The sequence below is a fragment of the Homo sapiens genome, chromosome 19, assembly GCF_000001405.40.
Source record: "Homo sapiens chromosome 19, GRCh38.p14 Primary Assembly".
Taxonomy (NCBI): domain Eukaryota; kingdom Metazoa; phylum Chordata; class Mammalia; order Primates; family Hominidae; genus Homo; species Homo sapiens.
Genome location: NC_000019.10, coordinates 5,116,104 through 5,131,666, shown reverse-complemented (window position 1 = coordinate 5,131,666; position 15,563 = coordinate 5,116,104). Strand labels below are relative to the sequence as shown.

At 60.8% G+C, this 15,563-nt stretch overlaps 1 protein-coding gene across 9 annotated transcripts in view, besides 18 other annotated features; it reads right to left on the bottom strand.

Moving 5' to 3' along the window:
* KDM4B (lysine demethylase 4B) overlaps positions 1-15,563 on the bottom strand; it is a 184,486-nt gene that overhangs the window by 21,932 nt on the left and 146,991 nt on the right. For 6 of the 9 annotated variants that reach the window (XM_005259521.5, XM_011527814.3, NM_001411148.1 and 3 more), the window contains 3 exons: positions 12,448-12,549; positions 11,815-12,014; positions 122-591 (listed from right to left, as the gene is read on the bottom strand). In XM_005259521.5, the coding sequence (XP_005259578.2) occupies positions 122-591; positions 11,815-12,014; positions 12,448-12,549 (772 nt within the window). Of the gene's footprint in view, positions 1-121; positions 592-7,026; positions 9,045-11,814; positions 12,015-12,447; positions 12,550-15,563 lie in introns of those variants that run through there. The other 3 variants (NM_015015.3, XM_047438472.1, XM_017026504.3) reach the window with 2 other exon arrangements.
* Positions 96-315: an enhancer, noted in NCBI's record as "active region_13796". NCBI's record gives its function as "activates an Ori minimal core promoter by ATAC-STARR-seq in GM12878 lymphoblastoid cells {active_cell/tissue: GM12878}" and the evidence as "EXISTENCE:reporter gene assay evidence [ECO:0000049][PMID:35858748]".
* Positions 409-945: an enhancer, noted in NCBI's record as "H3K27ac-H3K4me1 hESC enhancer chr19:5130733-5131269 (GRCh37/hg19 assembly coordinates)". NCBI's record gives its function as "activates a minimal SCP1, AML or CMV promoter by ChIP-STARR-seq in primed H9 embryonic stem cells {active_cell/tissue: H9 hESC(primed)}" and the evidence as "EXISTENCE:reporter gene assay evidence [ECO:0000049][PMID:30033119]".
* Positions 796-905: an enhancer, noted in NCBI's record as "active region_13795". NCBI's record gives its function as "activates an Ori minimal core promoter by ATAC-STARR-seq in GM12878 lymphoblastoid cells {active_cell/tissue: GM12878}" and the evidence as "EXISTENCE:reporter gene assay evidence [ECO:0000049][PMID:35858748]".
* Positions 946-1,482: an enhancer, noted in NCBI's record as "H3K4me1 hESC enhancer chr19:5130196-5130732 (GRCh37/hg19 assembly coordinates)". NCBI's record gives its function as "activates a minimal SCP1, AML or CMV promoter by ChIP-STARR-seq in primed H9 embryonic stem cells {active_cell/tissue: H9 hESC(primed)}" and the evidence as "EXISTENCE:reporter gene assay evidence [ECO:0000049][PMID:30033119]".
* Positions 1,483-2,019: an enhancer, noted in NCBI's record as "H3K4me1 hESC enhancer chr19:5129659-5130195 (GRCh37/hg19 assembly coordinates)". NCBI's record gives its function as "activates a minimal SCP1, AML or CMV promoter by ChIP-STARR-seq in primed H9 embryonic stem cells {active_cell/tissue: H9 hESC(primed)}" and the evidence as "EXISTENCE:reporter gene assay evidence [ECO:0000049][PMID:30033119]".
* Positions 2,020-2,557: an enhancer, noted in NCBI's record as "H3K27ac-H3K4me1 hESC enhancer chr19:5129121-5129658 (GRCh37/hg19 assembly coordinates)". NCBI's record gives its function as "activates a minimal SCP1, AML or CMV promoter by ChIP-STARR-seq in primed H9 embryonic stem cells {active_cell/tissue: H9 hESC(primed)}" and the evidence as "EXISTENCE:reporter gene assay evidence [ECO:0000049][PMID:30033119]".
* Positions 2,502-2,551: a silencer, noted in NCBI's record as "silent region_9918". NCBI's record gives its function as "represses an Ori minimal core promoter by ATAC-STARR-seq in GM12878 lymphoblastoid cells {active_cell/tissue: GM12878}" and the evidence as "EXISTENCE:reporter gene assay evidence [ECO:0000049][PMID:35858748]".
* Positions 2,558-3,093: an enhancer, noted in NCBI's record as "H3K27ac-H3K4me1 hESC enhancer chr19:5128585-5129120 (GRCh37/hg19 assembly coordinates)". NCBI's record gives its function as "activates a minimal SCP1, AML or CMV promoter by ChIP-STARR-seq in primed H9 embryonic stem cells {active_cell/tissue: H9 hESC(primed)}" and the evidence as "EXISTENCE:reporter gene assay evidence [ECO:0000049][PMID:30033119]".
* Positions 2,582-2,631: a silencer, noted in NCBI's record as "silent region_9917". NCBI's record gives its function as "represses an Ori minimal core promoter by ATAC-STARR-seq in GM12878 lymphoblastoid cells {active_cell/tissue: GM12878}" and the evidence as "EXISTENCE:reporter gene assay evidence [ECO:0000049][PMID:35858748]".
* Positions 2,875-3,039: a silencer, noted in NCBI's record as "fragment chr19:5128639-5128803 (GRCh37/hg19 assembly coordinates)". NCBI's record gives its function as "represses an EF-1alpha promoter that drives an FKBP-Casp9 reporter gene in an ReSE screen in HepG2 liver carcinoma cells {active_cell/tissue: HepG2}" and the evidence as "EXISTENCE:reporter gene assay evidence [ECO:0000049][PMID:32094911]".
* Positions 4,169-4,706: an enhancer, noted in NCBI's record as "H3K27ac-H3K4me1 hESC enhancer chr19:5126972-5127509 (GRCh37/hg19 assembly coordinates)". NCBI's record gives its function as "activates a minimal SCP1, AML or CMV promoter by ChIP-STARR-seq in naive and primed H9 embryonic stem cells {active_cell/tissue: H9 hESC(naive and primed)}" and the evidence as "EXISTENCE:reporter gene assay evidence [ECO:0000049][PMID:30033119]".
* Positions 4,434-4,503: an enhancer, noted in NCBI's record as "active region_13794". NCBI's record gives its function as "activates an Ori minimal core promoter by ATAC-STARR-seq in GM12878 lymphoblastoid cells {active_cell/tissue: GM12878}" and the evidence as "EXISTENCE:reporter gene assay evidence [ECO:0000049][PMID:35858748]".
* Positions 4,707-5,243: an enhancer, noted in NCBI's record as "H3K27ac-H3K4me1 hESC enhancer chr19:5126435-5126971 (GRCh37/hg19 assembly coordinates)". NCBI's record gives its function as "activates a minimal SCP1, AML or CMV promoter by ChIP-STARR-seq in naive H9 embryonic stem cells {active_cell/tissue: H9 hESC(naive)}" and the evidence as "EXISTENCE:reporter gene assay evidence [ECO:0000049][PMID:30033119]".
* Positions 4,724-4,783: an enhancer, noted in NCBI's record as "active region_13793". NCBI's record gives its function as "activates an Ori minimal core promoter by ATAC-STARR-seq in GM12878 lymphoblastoid cells {active_cell/tissue: GM12878}" and the evidence as "EXISTENCE:reporter gene assay evidence [ECO:0000049][PMID:35858748]".
* Positions 4,974-5,063: a silencer, noted in NCBI's record as "silent region_9916". NCBI's record gives its function as "represses an Ori minimal core promoter by ATAC-STARR-seq in GM12878 lymphoblastoid cells {active_cell/tissue: GM12878}" and the evidence as "EXISTENCE:reporter gene assay evidence [ECO:0000049][PMID:35858748]".
* Positions 5,244-5,781: an enhancer, noted in NCBI's record as "H3K27ac-H3K4me1 hESC enhancer chr19:5125897-5126434 (GRCh37/hg19 assembly coordinates)". NCBI's record gives its function as "activates a minimal SCP1, AML or CMV promoter by ChIP-STARR-seq in naive H9 embryonic stem cells {active_cell/tissue: H9 hESC(naive)}" and the evidence as "EXISTENCE:reporter gene assay evidence [ECO:0000049][PMID:30033119]".
* Positions 5,782-6,318: an enhancer, noted in NCBI's record as "H3K27ac-H3K4me1 hESC enhancer chr19:5125360-5125896 (GRCh37/hg19 assembly coordinates)". NCBI's record gives its function as "activates a minimal SCP1, AML or CMV promoter by ChIP-STARR-seq in naive and primed H9 embryonic stem cells {active_cell/tissue: H9 hESC(naive and primed)}" and the evidence as "EXISTENCE:reporter gene assay evidence [ECO:0000049][PMID:30033119]".
* Positions 9,684-10,224: an enhancer, noted in NCBI's record as "H3K4me1 hESC enhancer chr19:5121454-5121994 (GRCh37/hg19 assembly coordinates)". NCBI's record gives its function as "activates a minimal SCP1, AML or CMV promoter by ChIP-STARR-seq in naive H9 embryonic stem cells {active_cell/tissue: H9 hESC(naive)}" and the evidence as "EXISTENCE:reporter gene assay evidence [ECO:0000049][PMID:30033119]".

Here is a 15,563-nt window from a genome sequence, read left to right as displayed (position 1 = left end):
TCCTGTCCCCTCCTCCCTGCCCCCTCCCCCGCCACCAGCTCCCCTGTGCCCCACCTGCCCCCTCCTCCCCTGCCCCACCCCACCTGCCCCCCTCCTCCCTGCCTCCCCCGCTCCACCCCACCTGCCCCTCTCCGGCCCGGGCTTTGGTCTCCATGCGACCTGCCCCACTGCTGGCTGCACCGTCCTCTGGCCCCGTCAGCTCCATGGGGGAAACTGGTTCCTTCCAGGTCGGACCCTTCTGGGCAAAGTGCTCAAAGGCCTGCTGGCAGGACACGTGCTCCTGGTTGAAGGCTGCCTTGCCCGGCCGCGGCACCACGTACAGCATGGGGATGATGGGCCGAGGCTTGGCCTCTAGCTCCTCACTGGGCACCTCAGGGGGCACGACATTAAGGGGTGCCGGCAGGGGGCTCTCCTCCATGGCTGCAGGGCCTGGGCCCAGCACCGGGGGCTCCAGTGGGGATGGCAGCCACAGCGCCTCCTCTGAGGGGAAGTGAGCAGGCGGGGGCGGCAGCTGTGGGGGCAGCAGGCCGAAGCTCTTCTTCTTCCGCTCGCTCTTGGCCTTGGTTGGCCGCAGCTTGCCCCTCCCGTCCTCTGTGGGAAGAGGAGAGGGAGGTCAGGGAGGAGAACCCGGGCTCAAGTGCTGGTCCCACGCTCCCCAGAAATCCCCCAACTTTGACTGGGATGGTCGAGGGCTCCTTCCACCCAGAGAGGCCACACGAACATGGGTGGGCAGAGAACACAGGCTTCGGGCCACCTCAGATCACCGCAGGGGCACCTGGCCAGGCACCCCCAGGCCTTGGTCTCCCCACAACGCAGGCGCAGCAGCGGCACTTGCCTGCCAAGGCCTGTGAGGACCCACCAGGTGTTGCTCTATGTGCCTTCTGGGGTCACGGGAGGTGAGGAGACGCGTCACCAAACCCAGCCAGGGGAGGCTGCTCTGTCTTCTGGGCTCCCACCTGGGTGGGCCGTACCAAATGGCACTTTCCCGGTGGAGGTGGGGGAGAAGCACTTTTTGTGTTCTCGTGTATCCGAATTACGTACATTTCTACTGTTGATGTAGAAACGTTAAGGTTTTGCTTTTGACGAAAGTAAAACCTTGAACAACGCACAAAATCTTAATCAACGAACCCCAACCTGGCGGTCACATGAGCGAACCAGGAAGCGTCAGATGGGCCTGTGGGGCCCGACACCCTTCCGCGTGGAACTCCCCGGGGCCAGCAATGGGGAGATTTCCTGACAGGTGACAGGGAGGGGACAGTTGACTCATGTGTTTGGTGGCATTTTACTTTGGGGCCAGGACGGGTTTGCAGTAAATAAAATAAAACTGGGATGAGCAGCCTGGCTGGCTGAATCACAGCCCCCAGAAGCGTGCGGGTCCCAACTCTCCTGGACATGTGGATGTGGGACATGACAGAGGGACATGGGGGACTCTGGCAGAGGGGACTCTGTGGGTGGGACTGAGTGAAATGGGAGGTGATCCTAGATGATCCAAGAGGCCCGATGTCCTCACAAGGCCCTCACAAGATGAGGCGGGAGGGTGAGAGTCAGAGAGAGACTGGAAGAGGCTGCGCTGTGCCTGTGAAGGGAGAGGAAGGGACTCGAGCTGAGGGATGCAGGGGCCTCTAGATGCTGGGAAAGGTTTCTGTCCTGGAGTGCCCAGGAGGGCCTGTCCCTGCACACAGCTCCATGTGAGCCCAGCGGCGCTCTGTGTCGGGCTGTGGGAAGCTCGTGCCGGGGCAATCCCTCTGAGGGCCGCCGCACTCAGGGTAAGTTGTGGCACGGCAACTTGGAGCCCTGTCCTCGAGGAAGACCAGCCTGGCCGCACAGCACACTGTGGACCCCAGAACACCGTGAGCCCTGGGGCCCTGGGGCCCTGCCTGCTCCATCTGGAGGAGGGGGACAGGGGCTCAGGCCCCCACCTGTGTGTCTCCAGGCCCTAAGGCTCTTGGGACATTCTGGAAGGAGGAACCGTGGTTGATATCCAAGGGATTCTTGGGCTGTGGGGCTTTCAGTGCTAAAACTGGAAGGTCCCAAGCAGATCAGGATGAACTGGTCACTGCTAACATTTCACCACCTCCACCTCCCCCAACAGGCTGGAAAAATAAGGAAAAATTAAGAGAAGGAAATTCATTTCTGCACACTAAACTGTTGACCATGTGGCACTTAACGGGGTCTGGTTTGGAGCACAGCGCCCACATCTCACCACTTGCTATAAAACCCACCACGGGCTGCCCCCAGCTCCACAGTCCGTGATGCCAGGACCAGTGGTAAGCGCTGAGACCCTCAGCAATGAGGCTCCCAAGGGCCGAGGGTGACACTTAACCCTTGACCCACACTGACCCCAGTAAGGGTCAAGTGAGGACCCTCCCCCAACAGACCCTGCAGCCAGGAGGAAGCCACACTGCCCCACACACTCCCACAAGGGGCCCCCAGCCCACAGCCTCCCCCAGGAGTGGAGGCGGCCCTGCCCTCCCTGCTCCAGCTCTCCTCCCCACACCCTACCCAGCTCCATCTGCAGGCTTGGGGGACCGCCCACGGTGTCCTTGGCAGGCACACGCCCACCTGTTTCTCAAGAAGGACAGGCGAGCAGCCATAAGGTGAAGGCAGCCCCCGCCACTGCCCTGGCCCCCACCCCTGCTAGTCCTGAGCATTCTGGGGCACTGGGGGCACTGGCCGGGCTCCTCCCTGACCTCCACCCCGGCAGGGGAGCCTGGAACACCCCCAGGTCCTGTCTGGCCTTGCAGGGAGCGCAGTCTTCCCCTCCGCTGGTATCCGGGCCCCCCGCTGTTATATGACCCCCCCCCCCGCCCCCCGCCTCCACTGTTATCTGGCCCCTCAGCTGTTATCTGGCCAGGGGAGGTAAACACTGGACACAGCAGACAGGCTGGCGTGGGAAGAAATACTTTTTCCCTGCCGATGCCAGAGGGGAGGCACCCCCTCCCTGGGAGGCTGGGAGCAGAGGCGTGGAGATGCAGAGGGGAGGGGCCGGAAGCTTCACCAGGGCTGGAAGCTGGAGCAGCCCGGGGAGGCTGCAGAGGCCGCACGCCTCACCCCGAGCGCCTGTCAGGAAAGCCACTGTCCTGCGTGTGTAAAAGGCACTTGAGGACAAACAGCTTTGTTCCCCTAAGGAAATCCAATATTCCTTCGTCCATGATAGCGCCTGCCCAGCCTCACTCAGGACTGCAGGCTGCGGTGCCCATCCAGCCTCACCGGGGACTGGGACTCAGGCCCCCCACTGCTGGGCCGGCTTCCCAAGCCGGGTTCAACTTCAAGGGCAGGGGCTGGCGTGGGATCTGGCCCAGGAGGGCCCCACCTGGGGCATCGATGGTCTCAGGAGAGGGAGGAAGATGCCAGGACACAGCCTCACGGCCTCCAGCTGCAGGGCCACTCAGTGCACACATGAGGAATTGGGGAAGGAGGCGAGGAGGAAACACTCATCAGAGTCCCCAGCCGGCACCCCCACCCACCCCTCACACACAACAGGCAGCTCCGCACACAGGGGACTCCAGCCGGGGCTGTGGGGGCCAGGGACACAGAGCCGGGCTGTCCTCACACACAACAGGTAGCTCCGCACACAGGAGACTCCAGCCGGGGCTGTGGGGCCAGGGACACAGAGCTGGGCTGTCCTCACACACAACAGGCAGCTCTGTGCACAGGGGACTCCAGCCAGGGCTGTGGGGCCAGAGACACAGAGCCGGGCTGTCCTCACGAGACCACAGGTGCCTGCTCAGAGGGTCCCTGGGGAGTCCCCGCCTCTCTAAGGGGCTGGCATCCTCCCCCGACCAACGGGGCCTCCTGGGAGCTGAGGGGCGGCTGGTGTGACCGCCCCAGGCCCTGGTTCTGCTCGGGAGGCAAGGCTGGGTGGGGAGCTGAGGCCACCATCGTCCCCTAGGCCTCCCGGGGGCTGTCCTCTCACCAAGGGCCACACTGTAGGGCTCTCTCCCTCCTCCTCCAAGGACAGGGATGGCCCCAAGTCCCGCTTCCCCACAGCCCTCCCTGGTTGGCTGCCTGGTTCTGTCTCCCGGAGGGACCAGGCATGGGAGACAAAGTGGGACATAATTTGAGCCTCAGGTGCCCGGCTGATGAGTGCCACCCCATCCCCTGTCTGGAGACAGCAGTGAATGACAATGGCGGCAGCCTCAACGCACTCCACGCATAGCCCGCACCTGCTGGTGCCCTGGATTCTCAAACTCACAAGAACAAGTTTCCAGCCCTCTCCCTGTCGGCTCCCAGGCTCAGTGAAGCCCGGGCAGACACACAGGGGACCCTGTTAGAGGGAGATGCCCAAGGCTAGGAAGGACACCCTGAAAGACGGCGGCACACCCCGCAGCCATTCCTCGGGGCTCTGTCCTTGCTGTGGGCCATTCCTTGGGGCTCTGTCCCTGCCATGGGGACTACACTCCACAGGGACCTTGGCACGCCCCTCACCTGCCTGGCCTGAGGGAGGGAAGCGGGTGAGGGGCTTCAGGACAGAGCAGGGACCATGGTACAGATGGGGCCCAGGATGCACCCAGGCCCCCGAGGGCAGCCAGCTGAGGCCCTGCTAGCACTCTTTTTGGGTGGAGGGAAGGTGTCACAGCGGAAACCCCACCACCAGGGCTCACTAGCCTGCCTGGTGGCGAGGCCACTCCTCCCCAGCGCCGGGGTTTCCACCAGAGCCTCCAGCAAACCCCAAGACAGGCCCGAGGCCCAGGCTGCCCTGTGGAGGGGGCAAGAAACCACCCATTTCCAAGGACACCACTCTGTTCCTGCTCCGAGGCTGCCGAGATCAACTCACCAGCTTCGGCCTGGCTTATGGGGCCCCTCCCTCAAGTTTCGTGCTTGGCTTCCATGCCTGGGCCAACCAGCCCCGGTCTCAGGGGCTCTCTGGCCACCCCCTTCAACACTGCCACCCTCCCGTGCTGAACCCGCAGCCGGGTGCGCCTGACGGTCCCAGAGGCCCAGCTGGGATGTGCTGGCGGGTCCCCGGGCTGAGCTCACAGCCCCTCACTATGAGCTGGGGCCGCCCTCCAGACATGGCAGCCTTTGCTTTCCGTGTTCTAAAACCAGTCACCAGCCACGAGGCCTCTCCTGAGAGCAGCACTCCGGGGCGAGGGGAGGGGAAGGGCTGGGGGCTGGCTGCCCCACTCACCGCAGCCTTTCCACCCTCTGGGAGGCAGGACGGCACTATGCCAGCCCTCCTGGGTCCCCATCCTGGCTCTGCCCCCTGACCCTGTGTGTCCTGCACTGCAGGCCTTCTTCCAGGAGGCGGGGCCTCCCCGGAGGCTCAGGAGAGGTGGACGAGGCCGCCTTCCTGCTTTCTGCTTGGTTCTGGGGTTAGGGCTGGCTGGTGGGGCTGCTAGTCCCTCCTAGCGCTGGGCAATAGGGCGGCCGCTCTTCCCAGACCTTGAAGCAGCCAGTAAGAATGGGATAGGGGACACCAGCAGCCACTGGGAAGCAGCCTCTCAACCGCCCCCCAGGCACCTCTCCTCCTGAGGGGCTTCCTCCCCGATGCTGATGCCCCCTGGCCCCTGTGAGCAACAGGTTCTGGCCCCTTCCCAGCTTGTTCCATATGAAAACACAAAACCCCACACCCCACTGCTAGGCCCTGAAAGGTGCCTCAGCGTCATAGCTTTTAGGGGCGTGAAACTGGCATTCAAGGAGGACCAGAAACCGCTTTAGGAAATCTTTCCCGCAGCACTGTGGCATGCATTTCCTGTCGTGCCCCTGACTGTGAACATGCATTTATGAGGCTCTCTCGAGATAAACCTCTCGTCCAGAGGCTCCTGGGACTTCGGGCTCCCGGGAAAACGGCTGTGTCCAAGAAAACGCCCACCCCTGCCAGATTGGGTCCTTCCCAGGAGTCTCTGTCGTGGAACAGAGATAAGGGTGTCCAGGGCGGGGGGCGGGGGGTGGGCAGCACCAGTCCTGAGCCCTCCCTGGGCAGAGACCCTGACGTGCCACCAACGTAGCCCCTAACCCTCCTCGCTGGTCCCTGGCCTTTCTGTGGGGGCTGATCCCTTCAGAGACCCGTGGAAGCCACAGGCCTCAGAGATGCACCAGGCCCAGCCTCCTGGCACCGTGACCACTGCACCGGGCGTGTGGACCCCCGGGGATCTCGGGAGGGAGCGAGTTGCCCTGTACATCTTTAAACAGGATGGTGAGTGACCAGGCCAGGGCCTCACCTACGCCAGGCAGCTGGACGAGCCATTGGTTTCCCCTCCCTCCCACGCGGTGTAGGCTTCTCTCCAGCGGGCAACTGCCACTGTCAGGGGAGGAAAGCCGCCCATCCAGCCAGGACCACGCATGGGGAGGGGAGACCAGAGGAGAACCAGGACCCCCTGGTTCAGGACCTCCCTGAACCTGAGTCTCTTGGAGGCCAAGGCCATGGTGAGGCCCAAGTGAGAGCAGGTAACGCCGGGGCTGGGGAGGGTGTGGCTGTCTCGTCAGTGGGCTTGGGAAGATTAGTAAATAACAGTTAGTCACATTAATGAAAAGAAAGCTGGGCACAGTGGCTCATACCTGTAATCCCAGCACTTTGGGAGGCTGAGGCGGAGCCCAGGAGTTCGGGAGCAGCTTGGGCAACATAGCGAGACCCCGTGTCTACTAAAAATTTTGAAAAATGAGCGGAGTTGCGGTGCACGTCCACAGTCCCAGCTACTGAGGAGGCTGAGGTGGGAGAACTGCTTGAGCCCAGGAAACCAAGGCTGCAGTGAGCCGTGACTGCACCACTGCCCTCCAACCTGGGGGACACAGCAAGACTCGGTTTCAAAAAAAAAGAAAAGAAAAGAAGGCTGGGCATAGTGGCTCGGGCCTGTAATCCCAGCACCTTGGGAGGCTGAGGCAAGTGGATCACCTGAGGTCAGGAGTTGGAGACCATTCTGACCGACATGGTGAAACCCTGTCTGTACTAAAAATACAAAAATTAGCAGGGCATGGTGGCGGGCGCCTGTAATCCCAGCTACTTGGGAGGCTGACGCAGGAGAATCGTTTGAACCTGGGAGGTAGAGGTTGCATGAGCTGAGATTGCGTCACTGCACTCCAGCCTGGGTGACAGAGCGGAACTCCATCAGGAAAGGAAAGGAAAAGGAAAAGAAGCCACAGTCCTTTGCTAGCCAGTTGGGTAAAACAAGTCACAGGAGCTGGTGGCCGCCCTTCCTCCAGCCAGAGGCTGGCCAGCCCCTAGAGTCTGCTCAAGAGGGAGGAAGACACCCATGGTACGGGGGATCCTTGTGACCCCTCCCAGGAGGCCCCACTGAGAACCCAGGACAGACTCTGACCAGCCAGCTCCACTCTGTAAAAGCCTTCCCAGGACTGGGCCACTTTCCTCGCTGCCTGAACCCACAGGTGGCAGCGGCGGCGGCAGCAGCCTGCCCGATTTCCCCCACCGCGCCGGCCTGGGGAGGATGCGTGTCCTCTTATCTCTGCCCTCCTGAAGGGTCCATCAAGGCGGTGTCCCAGCTCAGGGTCACATGGGCAGTTAACGGGTGGGCTTGGGTGGGCCCGGGTCCCCAGACCCAAGCCTGGATCTTTCTCTGCCTGCTTGTTTTCCCATAACTCACCCATCTCCTGTGAGACCACACACAGCCCCCAGCACGTTCTGACTCGTGAGAAGGGCAGCTTCACAAGGTCCAAGCTCAAGGTGGCCCACGCAGCCCCCCACCCCCAGGGACCCCAGCCCAAGCCCAGCCCACCCCTGCCAGCCCATCCTGTGGGGAGAATGGTCACGGCTCAGCCACCTCCCTGTCCCACGCCAGTCCCTCCAGCGACATCCCACAGTCCCCCTTGGAATAGAACCTGAACTGCGCCCATCCCCCACTCCCCTGCCGACCTCGCCTGGGGCTCACCGTCTCCAGAATCAAACACAGACTCCTGCTCAGAAAACAGGAGGCCTGGCTACCGCAGCCAGCCCAGGAACTTATCCTCTACCAGCACGACCCATGCTCAGGCGCCCAGCTTGCCTGCTGGAGTCTGCATTATTTCTGAGGATTTCCCAAACCCCAGAGGACCTGCAGTGTAGACACAGGCCCTGCAGGATGACAACACAAATGGGCACCTGTGCCTGCTCCTGCCCTGCAGGAAGCCCCTCGCCTGCTGCAGAGCTGAGTCCCTGTGCTGTTGAATGGTGCTGCAGTCCTAGCCCCCGGACCTGGGGTGCCACCTTGTTTGGGAAGGGCGTCACTGCAGACGGAATGAGTTATGATGAGACCCTTGGGGCGGGCCAGGCCCAGCGTGGCCAGTGTCCTTAGGAAGGGGGGAATCTGGACAGACACACTCCGGGAGAACACGGGAACACAAAGGTGCTGCCTCCAAGCCCAGGAAAGGGGCCTGGGAGAGGTCCTCCTGGGTCCTCGGAATGGGCCAGCCCGGCTGACACCTGGACCGTGACCTTCCCGCTTCCACAGGTGTGAGATTGTACATTTCAGCCATTTCAGCCGCCCCATCTGTGGACTTTAAACAAACGGAGCACAGCATATGAGAAGCCCCGTGCCACGCGAGGTCGTGTCCGAGAGCCACAGGGCGTGGAGCAGTGGCCTCCAGCGCTCATGCCTCCAGGGCAGACGAGGGTGACAGGAGGCGCTGGTTCCCCGTCCCTCTCCATCGATGGAGGTTGGTTAGTTTGCCTGTCCCTGCATCTGCACAGTCCTAGTGCCCCACCAGCAGGGGGTCTCTCCAGGAAACGTGCCCTGAGGGCAGCTCTGGGTGTGCAGTTTGCAAATGCTCCACTTCTCTGGATAAGGCCAGGTCCATCTCCAATGCAGCCGGACTCACGCAGGTCCCAGGCAACAGGGGACTGGGCTGCCCGCTGCACCGGCTTCCAGGGCTGGGCACGGTGGGTGTTTCCACCTCTGGTGGTCCGAGGAGCACACAGCAGCGTGTCTGCAGCGCTTCCCAGAGCAGGCTGGGCTCATTAGCCTAAGGGATCTCCTCTTCTGGTGCCCTCTTCCTTGGGGGGCTGAGCCCCTCCTGGTCCTCAGGCATTCTTATCTGCTCTTGGTCGGTGACGGGTGGCGAGTGTCTTCCCTACTTATCGGCTTGTCTTCTCACTTTCTTAAAGGTTCATCCTTTGATAAACAGCAGTGGATTTGAGAGTCACTGAATTTGTTCATCTTTATTTTTCTAGTTTGTGCTTTTTAATAAACAATCACTTAGCCTTGGGTTATATACTTTCCTGCTTTGTGTTTCCAGTTTGCCAGTTCTCTTTTGACAGAAATGCCTAAGCATGTGGCAGGCAGAGGAATGACCCCAAAGGCATCTGCATCCTTATCCCTGGAGCCTGGGAATCTGTCCCCTCCCGTGGCAGAAGGAATATTCAGGTGGGACTCAGTGAAGGACCCTGACATGGGAGAGCATCTGGGAGACCTGGGAACCCAGGGTCCTCACCGGGTAGAAGGTAGGAGGGTAAGAGTCAGAGAGAGACCGGAAGAGGCTGCACTGTGGCTGTGAAGGAGGAGGAAGGGGCTCTGAGCCAAGAGATGTGGGCGCCTCTAGACACTGAGACAGGCAGGAAACAGGTTCTCCCCTGGAGCCCCCCAGGAGGAAGCAGCCCTGCCCACAGCTTGATTTTAGCCCAGTGAGGCCTGTCAGACTGGTGGCCTCCAGAGCTGTGAGACAAGGAGCGTGTGTTGTTTTACGCCACCAAGGTCATGGTCCTTCATTTCAGCGGCCCCAGGGCACTCACAGAGGCCGCAGCGTGGACAGGGGGAGGGAGGGGACTGAGGTCTCACACCAAGTCCACTGCTCCGGGATTCCTATTCCTAGACCTTTTGCCATCTTTGCTTGGGTCCTGCAAGCTCTGTGGCAAGCCCTGCCTTCTGGAAGGGTGGCCCCAGCCTCTTGACAGGCCTTGGGCTTTCATCCGCCTGCATTTAAATCAGCAAACCCTGCTGGGATCCCAAATGGAGCTGCACTGAACCTGCAGAGAATGTGGGGGAAGCCGTTAGTTGTCCGCTTAAGAGCTCTCCTAACACCTGGTAGGTCCTTCTGTTTATTTAGGAATTCTTTCTTATTTCCAAAAAAAGTCTCTTAATTTTCTCCATAAAGATCATTTTTTTGGTTAGGTTTATTCTAAGATCCATTATTTCTGGTTGCTAGCACCATAAGGGGCATCTTTGGGAGCCATGTTTGCTGCGAGCGGCTCGCAGATGAGGGGCGAGATTGGGTTTCTGTGCCTGTCGCTCATCTCTGGCAGCTCCGCTCGATCCCCGAGTCACCAGGCGGCTGCCTGTAGACTTGCTTGCTGCTTCTCAGTAGAGAATTGTCGCTACATAATAACAGTGCCACGACAGCTGTGCTTTTCTCTTCTACCCACGATGCCTTTTCTGTCCTCGTCTTGCCTCTCTAGGCCGGCAGACCCTCCTGAGGCGTGCTGAACAGACGCAGGGCCCACGTACCCCACCGAGTAAGTGGTCCGTCAGGGGCAAACTCACCCCCGGCCTCTGCTCTTTCCCCCAGGGATGCTCACTTTTCTTGCCTCAGGCCCACAGGCACTGGCAAACTGTGACCCTCAATATCTGCCCCATGTATATGGGGAGGGCAGGGGCGTGCCTGCCTCCTGGAGTACTGCGAGGGCCACGACCCCATCGTCACAGATCAGGCACCCCACGGCTGCCCCTGGCAGGTGGGAGGGACCTCACATCTGCTGAATGGCACCACAGCTGGGCCTCTTGCCATGTTCCAAGGACAATATTCACCTTGGGCACCAGCGCGTCCTGGAGACCTGACACCTCAGAGGCAGACCAGGTCATGTTGGGCTCATACAGAGGGAAACTGAGGACTAGGACCCTCCGGCGAATGTGGCCCCCATGACCTGGGCCTCAGGCACTGTGGCTGGGGGCAGCCCTTGGTGGGAGGCAGGCTGGCCAGCACACCCCACAAACCTGCTCCCTGCATGGCACCTGGAAAGGGTGGGAGAGGGAAGGGCTCCCAGCGGGGAGCCCTAGCTGGGAACAGCCACTTTGCACAGACTCCCAAGCAGCTAAAGCTCTAAACTGAGAAGATAAAACCCAGTCACCAGAAACAAAATGCTGTCAACCCTGGAATAGGAACCTTTACACACTCACAGGTGGGAGTTCCACAGCCAAAACCTCCCCCTGGGGAAGGTAATGTTTCTGAGACTGCCTCCCGGCCCCCCGCACCCCGTTCACAACTGCTGGTTCACACTCCTGTGGGAAGGCGGCTGCCCCCTGTCTTGCCAGCCCCGGGAGAGTGGGGAGGCCCGAGGGCAGGTGGGAGACCTGCTGACGGGGGCCCCAGCTCACAGTCAGGACCAGCCCTCTGCCCACAAGTGGCTGTGGCTGCTGCAGGCACGTTCCAGCATCTGGGCCATATACAGCATCCTGGTCTTTTATTATTATTATTATTTTTGTGATACTGGGTCTTGCTCTGTTGCCCAGGTTGGAGTGCAGAGGTGCAAACACGGCTCACTACGGCCTCAACCTCCCACCTCAGCTTCCCAAGTAGCTGGGACTATAGGTGCAAGCCACCAAGCCTGGTTAAATTTTTTTTATATCATAAGTAGAGACAGGGTCTCAAACTCCTGGACTCAAGTGATCCTGCCACCTTGGCCTCCCAAAGTGCTAGGATTACAGGTGGGAGCCACTGCGCCTGGCCTCTCGTAACTGCTCTTCTCAATTCTGGGGACGGAGGCACTTTTCTTACGGCCTCCACCTTACGATGTCTATTTTCACGAAATGCCCCACCCTGGCAAGAAAGCCACTGAATCAGATTCTTACAAAACGGGGACTCTGGCTGTAGCAGGCACTGGTTCCTTCTAGGAGATGCCCACGGGGGTGGGAAAACAGCGGTGCCAGGCCTGGCCCGGCAGGGACTGACCTTCTGCGCCCTCGGCCTCCCGGCCGTGTGGCAGTGGCTGCGGCTCCTCCTCCTCCTCCTCGGGGTCAACCTCCGGCCCAGCCTCCTCCTTCACGCTGCCCCCAGCCTCCTCTAGGAGCGCTGCCCCAGCCGTACCCTCCCCAGGGAACTTGGGGTCTTCGGGCTTCGGCTTCTTGGGCTGGCTCCGTTTCCGGTGAGACCTGGAGAGGGAGGTTTATCAGGCAGGAGGGGAGACCAGGGAGGGAAGAGCCCTAGGTCTGTGCACTCTGTCCGGCAGCACGCAGCCCCCGCCCACCCCCAGAAGAGCGCTCCATGAGCAGGGGGCCTCCTGGCTGGAGGCCGGGGGTAAAGGGAACCCTGGGTGGGGTTCTGCTCTTGCGGGGCAGGAGCCGTGTTGGGAGGAGAGACCAAAGGGAGACGGGGCAATGGACACGGCGGGGACGGTGTCAAGCGGGGGACGCTGATGACAGCTGGAGATGGGAAGCCGACTGACACCAGGTGGGATGACGGGCGGGACGGGGCGGCAGGAGCCGCGTGTGCCACGGGACAGAGACACAGGGAGTGTGAGCTCCGAGGGAAACAGCAGCTCATGGAAAATGCCTAGACGACAAACGGAACGAAAAAGACACTTACGACAGCCCCGGCCTTTTGGTCTGCTCTTTCTTCCTTTCTAGACTTGGTTTCCTCTCCTCCTCAGTCTTTCTCCAGTGTCTGTTTTCTTTCAGACTAATTTGTCTAGAATGTAAATTTCACGGGTTTTTTCTCTAGGACTTCTGCTCAACTCCCCAGGACGCCTGGTCCTGGCCACCTGGCTCTGTCCCCAACTCCCTGGGTCCTCTCTCTGCAGCCCATGAGGTGCATGGGAGCCCCAGCTCACACTCCGCTGCTCTGACCTGTGCCCACACCCCAGGGCCTGCCAGGGCCTCCTCTGCGCCCTGAGCCCAGGATCTGCTCACGGGGCAGGCGTGGGCCAAGAGGAGGCGCATCCTGCATGCCCAACCTGGACACCCACAATCCTGGGGTACATCGGGGAGGTCCCGGTCCCTGCACACCAGCCCCAAGTAAGGGATTCAACCTGAGGCTTACAGGCTTGGCTGAGCTGAGACTTCTTAGAAATGAGAGAGAGGGGCTGAAAAAGGGAGGAAAAGTGACAGCCAGGTGACCCTGCAGCTGAGCGGCCAGGGCCTCACACCAGGTTCCCCCAGGGACCTCCAGGGTCTTTCCAGGAAGGAAGCAAAAGCTTTTTGGAGATGCGGAGGGGGTGGTTCCCAGGGGGCTCAGGCAGAAGCCGGGAGTGCAGAGAAGCCGAGGCCTGGCTGGTCACTAGTGCCTCCCCTGGGCATGTGATATCTGCACCTCCTCCAGGCCCACCCCCTGCAGCTGCCCTAAGCCCTGGCCTGGCCAGGGGCCTCTCTAGGCCATGAGCTCGAGGCCGCACAGCCCGGCTCCCCAGTGGCCTTTCTCCCCTTCCCCAGTTGAGATCCAGCCACGTCAAGCCTGCCAGCAGTCAGGCAGAGCTGGGAGCGCCAGTGTTTCCGGGACAATCACCAATGCCGGCTGCGGCTTCCGGGTGCTTCCCGTGTCCCCTGTCCCCATGGGCTCAGACTCGGACACCTCAATCCCACGGGGGTCCCTGTGGCAGCTGCCCCTCCAAGGACCAAGTGGTCACCAAGGTGGGGCAGGCTCATCTGACAGGGGTGGGGTGGGCCCGCTGCCGGGGCTTCTGTTACCAGGACCTCCTCACCTCTGCCTGAGCCAGGCTGTCACATGGGCCAGCAGCAGCCCATGCTCCCTCGGGACACTTGGACCTGACCCCTGCCCACCGCTGCTCCCAGCCACTCTGCCCGCCCTGTGCTCCATGCTGGCTTCTGGGGCGCCTCCTCCAGGAAGCCTTCCTAGAACACTAGTCACTGCCGGCCCTCCTTGCTCCTCAGCTGCCTAACTCGCTAGAATCAGTGCTCCCCGATGTCTGCAGCATGGCCCACCACAATGACTCAAGGCAGAAAGCGGGTGGACCAGAGGCATGGCATCACACAGCATGGTGCACACAAGGTCGCTGCGGGGTGGCCGGGCAGGGGTGGGAGGCAGGCAGGGGCGGGCGTGGGGCCAGAGTCACTAACACAGGGAGCAGGAGGTGGATGGGGGACACGGGAGTGGCCCCTGCCCTCCAGAGAACGTTCTCCACAACAGCAGCCCAAGGACGGCTCTGGGAAGGCAGCCTCAGGCTCCACTAGGGGGCTAGGCAAATGCTGGGTGCCTGCCCCAGATGGAGACAGCAGGCTCAGGAGGAGGAAGCTTCAGACCGGCGCTGGGGTGCAACTGGCTCTTGTCACCACTGTCATCCCAAGGTGGGCTGCCCTCCTGGTCTGGGAATGCCCCAGGGCTGTAGGGCCGGGATCCCACAGTGGACCCGCCCTGGTCCCAGACAGCACCAGCAGAAGGGCGCCCTCCCATGCCGCTCACCTGGCCTCAGCTGCCCCCAGCTCCACAGCCCCTTCTCCCACCCACTGCAGTCCCTCCCTCCACCCCCACCCTGAAAACTCACCCTAGAGGTCGCTTCCGACCATGGCCCTCCCCTGCTGCAGCCTTCCAGGGGCACCCCCACGGCCTTCAAGCCTTACTGTGTCTGCCCCAGAGGGCCCCAGAACTGTCCTGGTGCCCAACCAGAGCTCTGGGGCCTCATCCTTGCAGCCCAGCCCTTTCCTACCTGCAGTAGTGCCAGGCTGAGACCCCTGGGTCCCACACTACATGGAACTGGGTAGGGCTCAATGCACAGACACAGCAAGGGCGGCACAGACACAGCAAGGGGGGCACAGCCCACGGCAGAGGGGCAGCCATCACTTGGGGCATCTGTGGGGTCCTAAGAGCACGCCTCTTCCTGACCCTGACATCTTCATCCCCCTTCGCGTGTTTCTGCACCCAATGCTTGTTTCTGGGTCTGGCTCCCGGCACAGGTGTTGAGGGTGTGGCCATCCTTGCTCGCCTCCATGACCGTCCCCTTCTCTCCCTGCACCTGCCACCGTCTTCCATTGCAGCCAAATTCCACGTTTACGCTTTTATGCCCCATAAACATTGTGCATCCATGAGCCACAGAGCAACTCGGGCCGCATTCCCTGCCCCCACCCTGGGGTCTGGAACTGGCCTCCTGCTTTGGACGCCTAGCTTCCTTGGTATCTCTGAGCTCCCTGCCATTGCTCTTAAACTCCTGCTGTGGTCTCCTATGCAGGGTGTCCCCTTCTCTCCATGACACCCCTGGGGGTCTTGGTTCCTTCTCCCATGATCTTGAGACTCCCCTTGACTCTCCTGGGTTAGATCTTGTTTCCTCAACCCCATGGCTTTCTCGATTTACATCCTTGTTTAGCTGGAGCACATCCTGCAGCAGCTTCCTGAGAAAGGAGGTGGAATACGAGACTCTGTGTGTCTAAAAAGATCCTTATTCCCCTCACACATTTCTTGACAATTTGGCTAGGTAAAAGATTTGGGGAGAATTATTCCTCTTCTGACTTTTGAAGGCCTTTTTCCTTTGTCTTTTAGCTTGTGGCATTATGACTGTAAATCCAATGCTAACAGAGTCTCCTATTCTTTATAATTTTTTTTTTTTTTTTTTTTTTTTTTTTAGAGATGTGGTCTTGCTATGTTGCCCAGGCTGACCTCGAACTCTGGGCCTCAAGTGATCCTCCTGCCTTGGCCTCCCATAGTGCTGGGATCACAGGCATGAGCTACCATGCCCAGCCCCAGTCTGGTGAGCT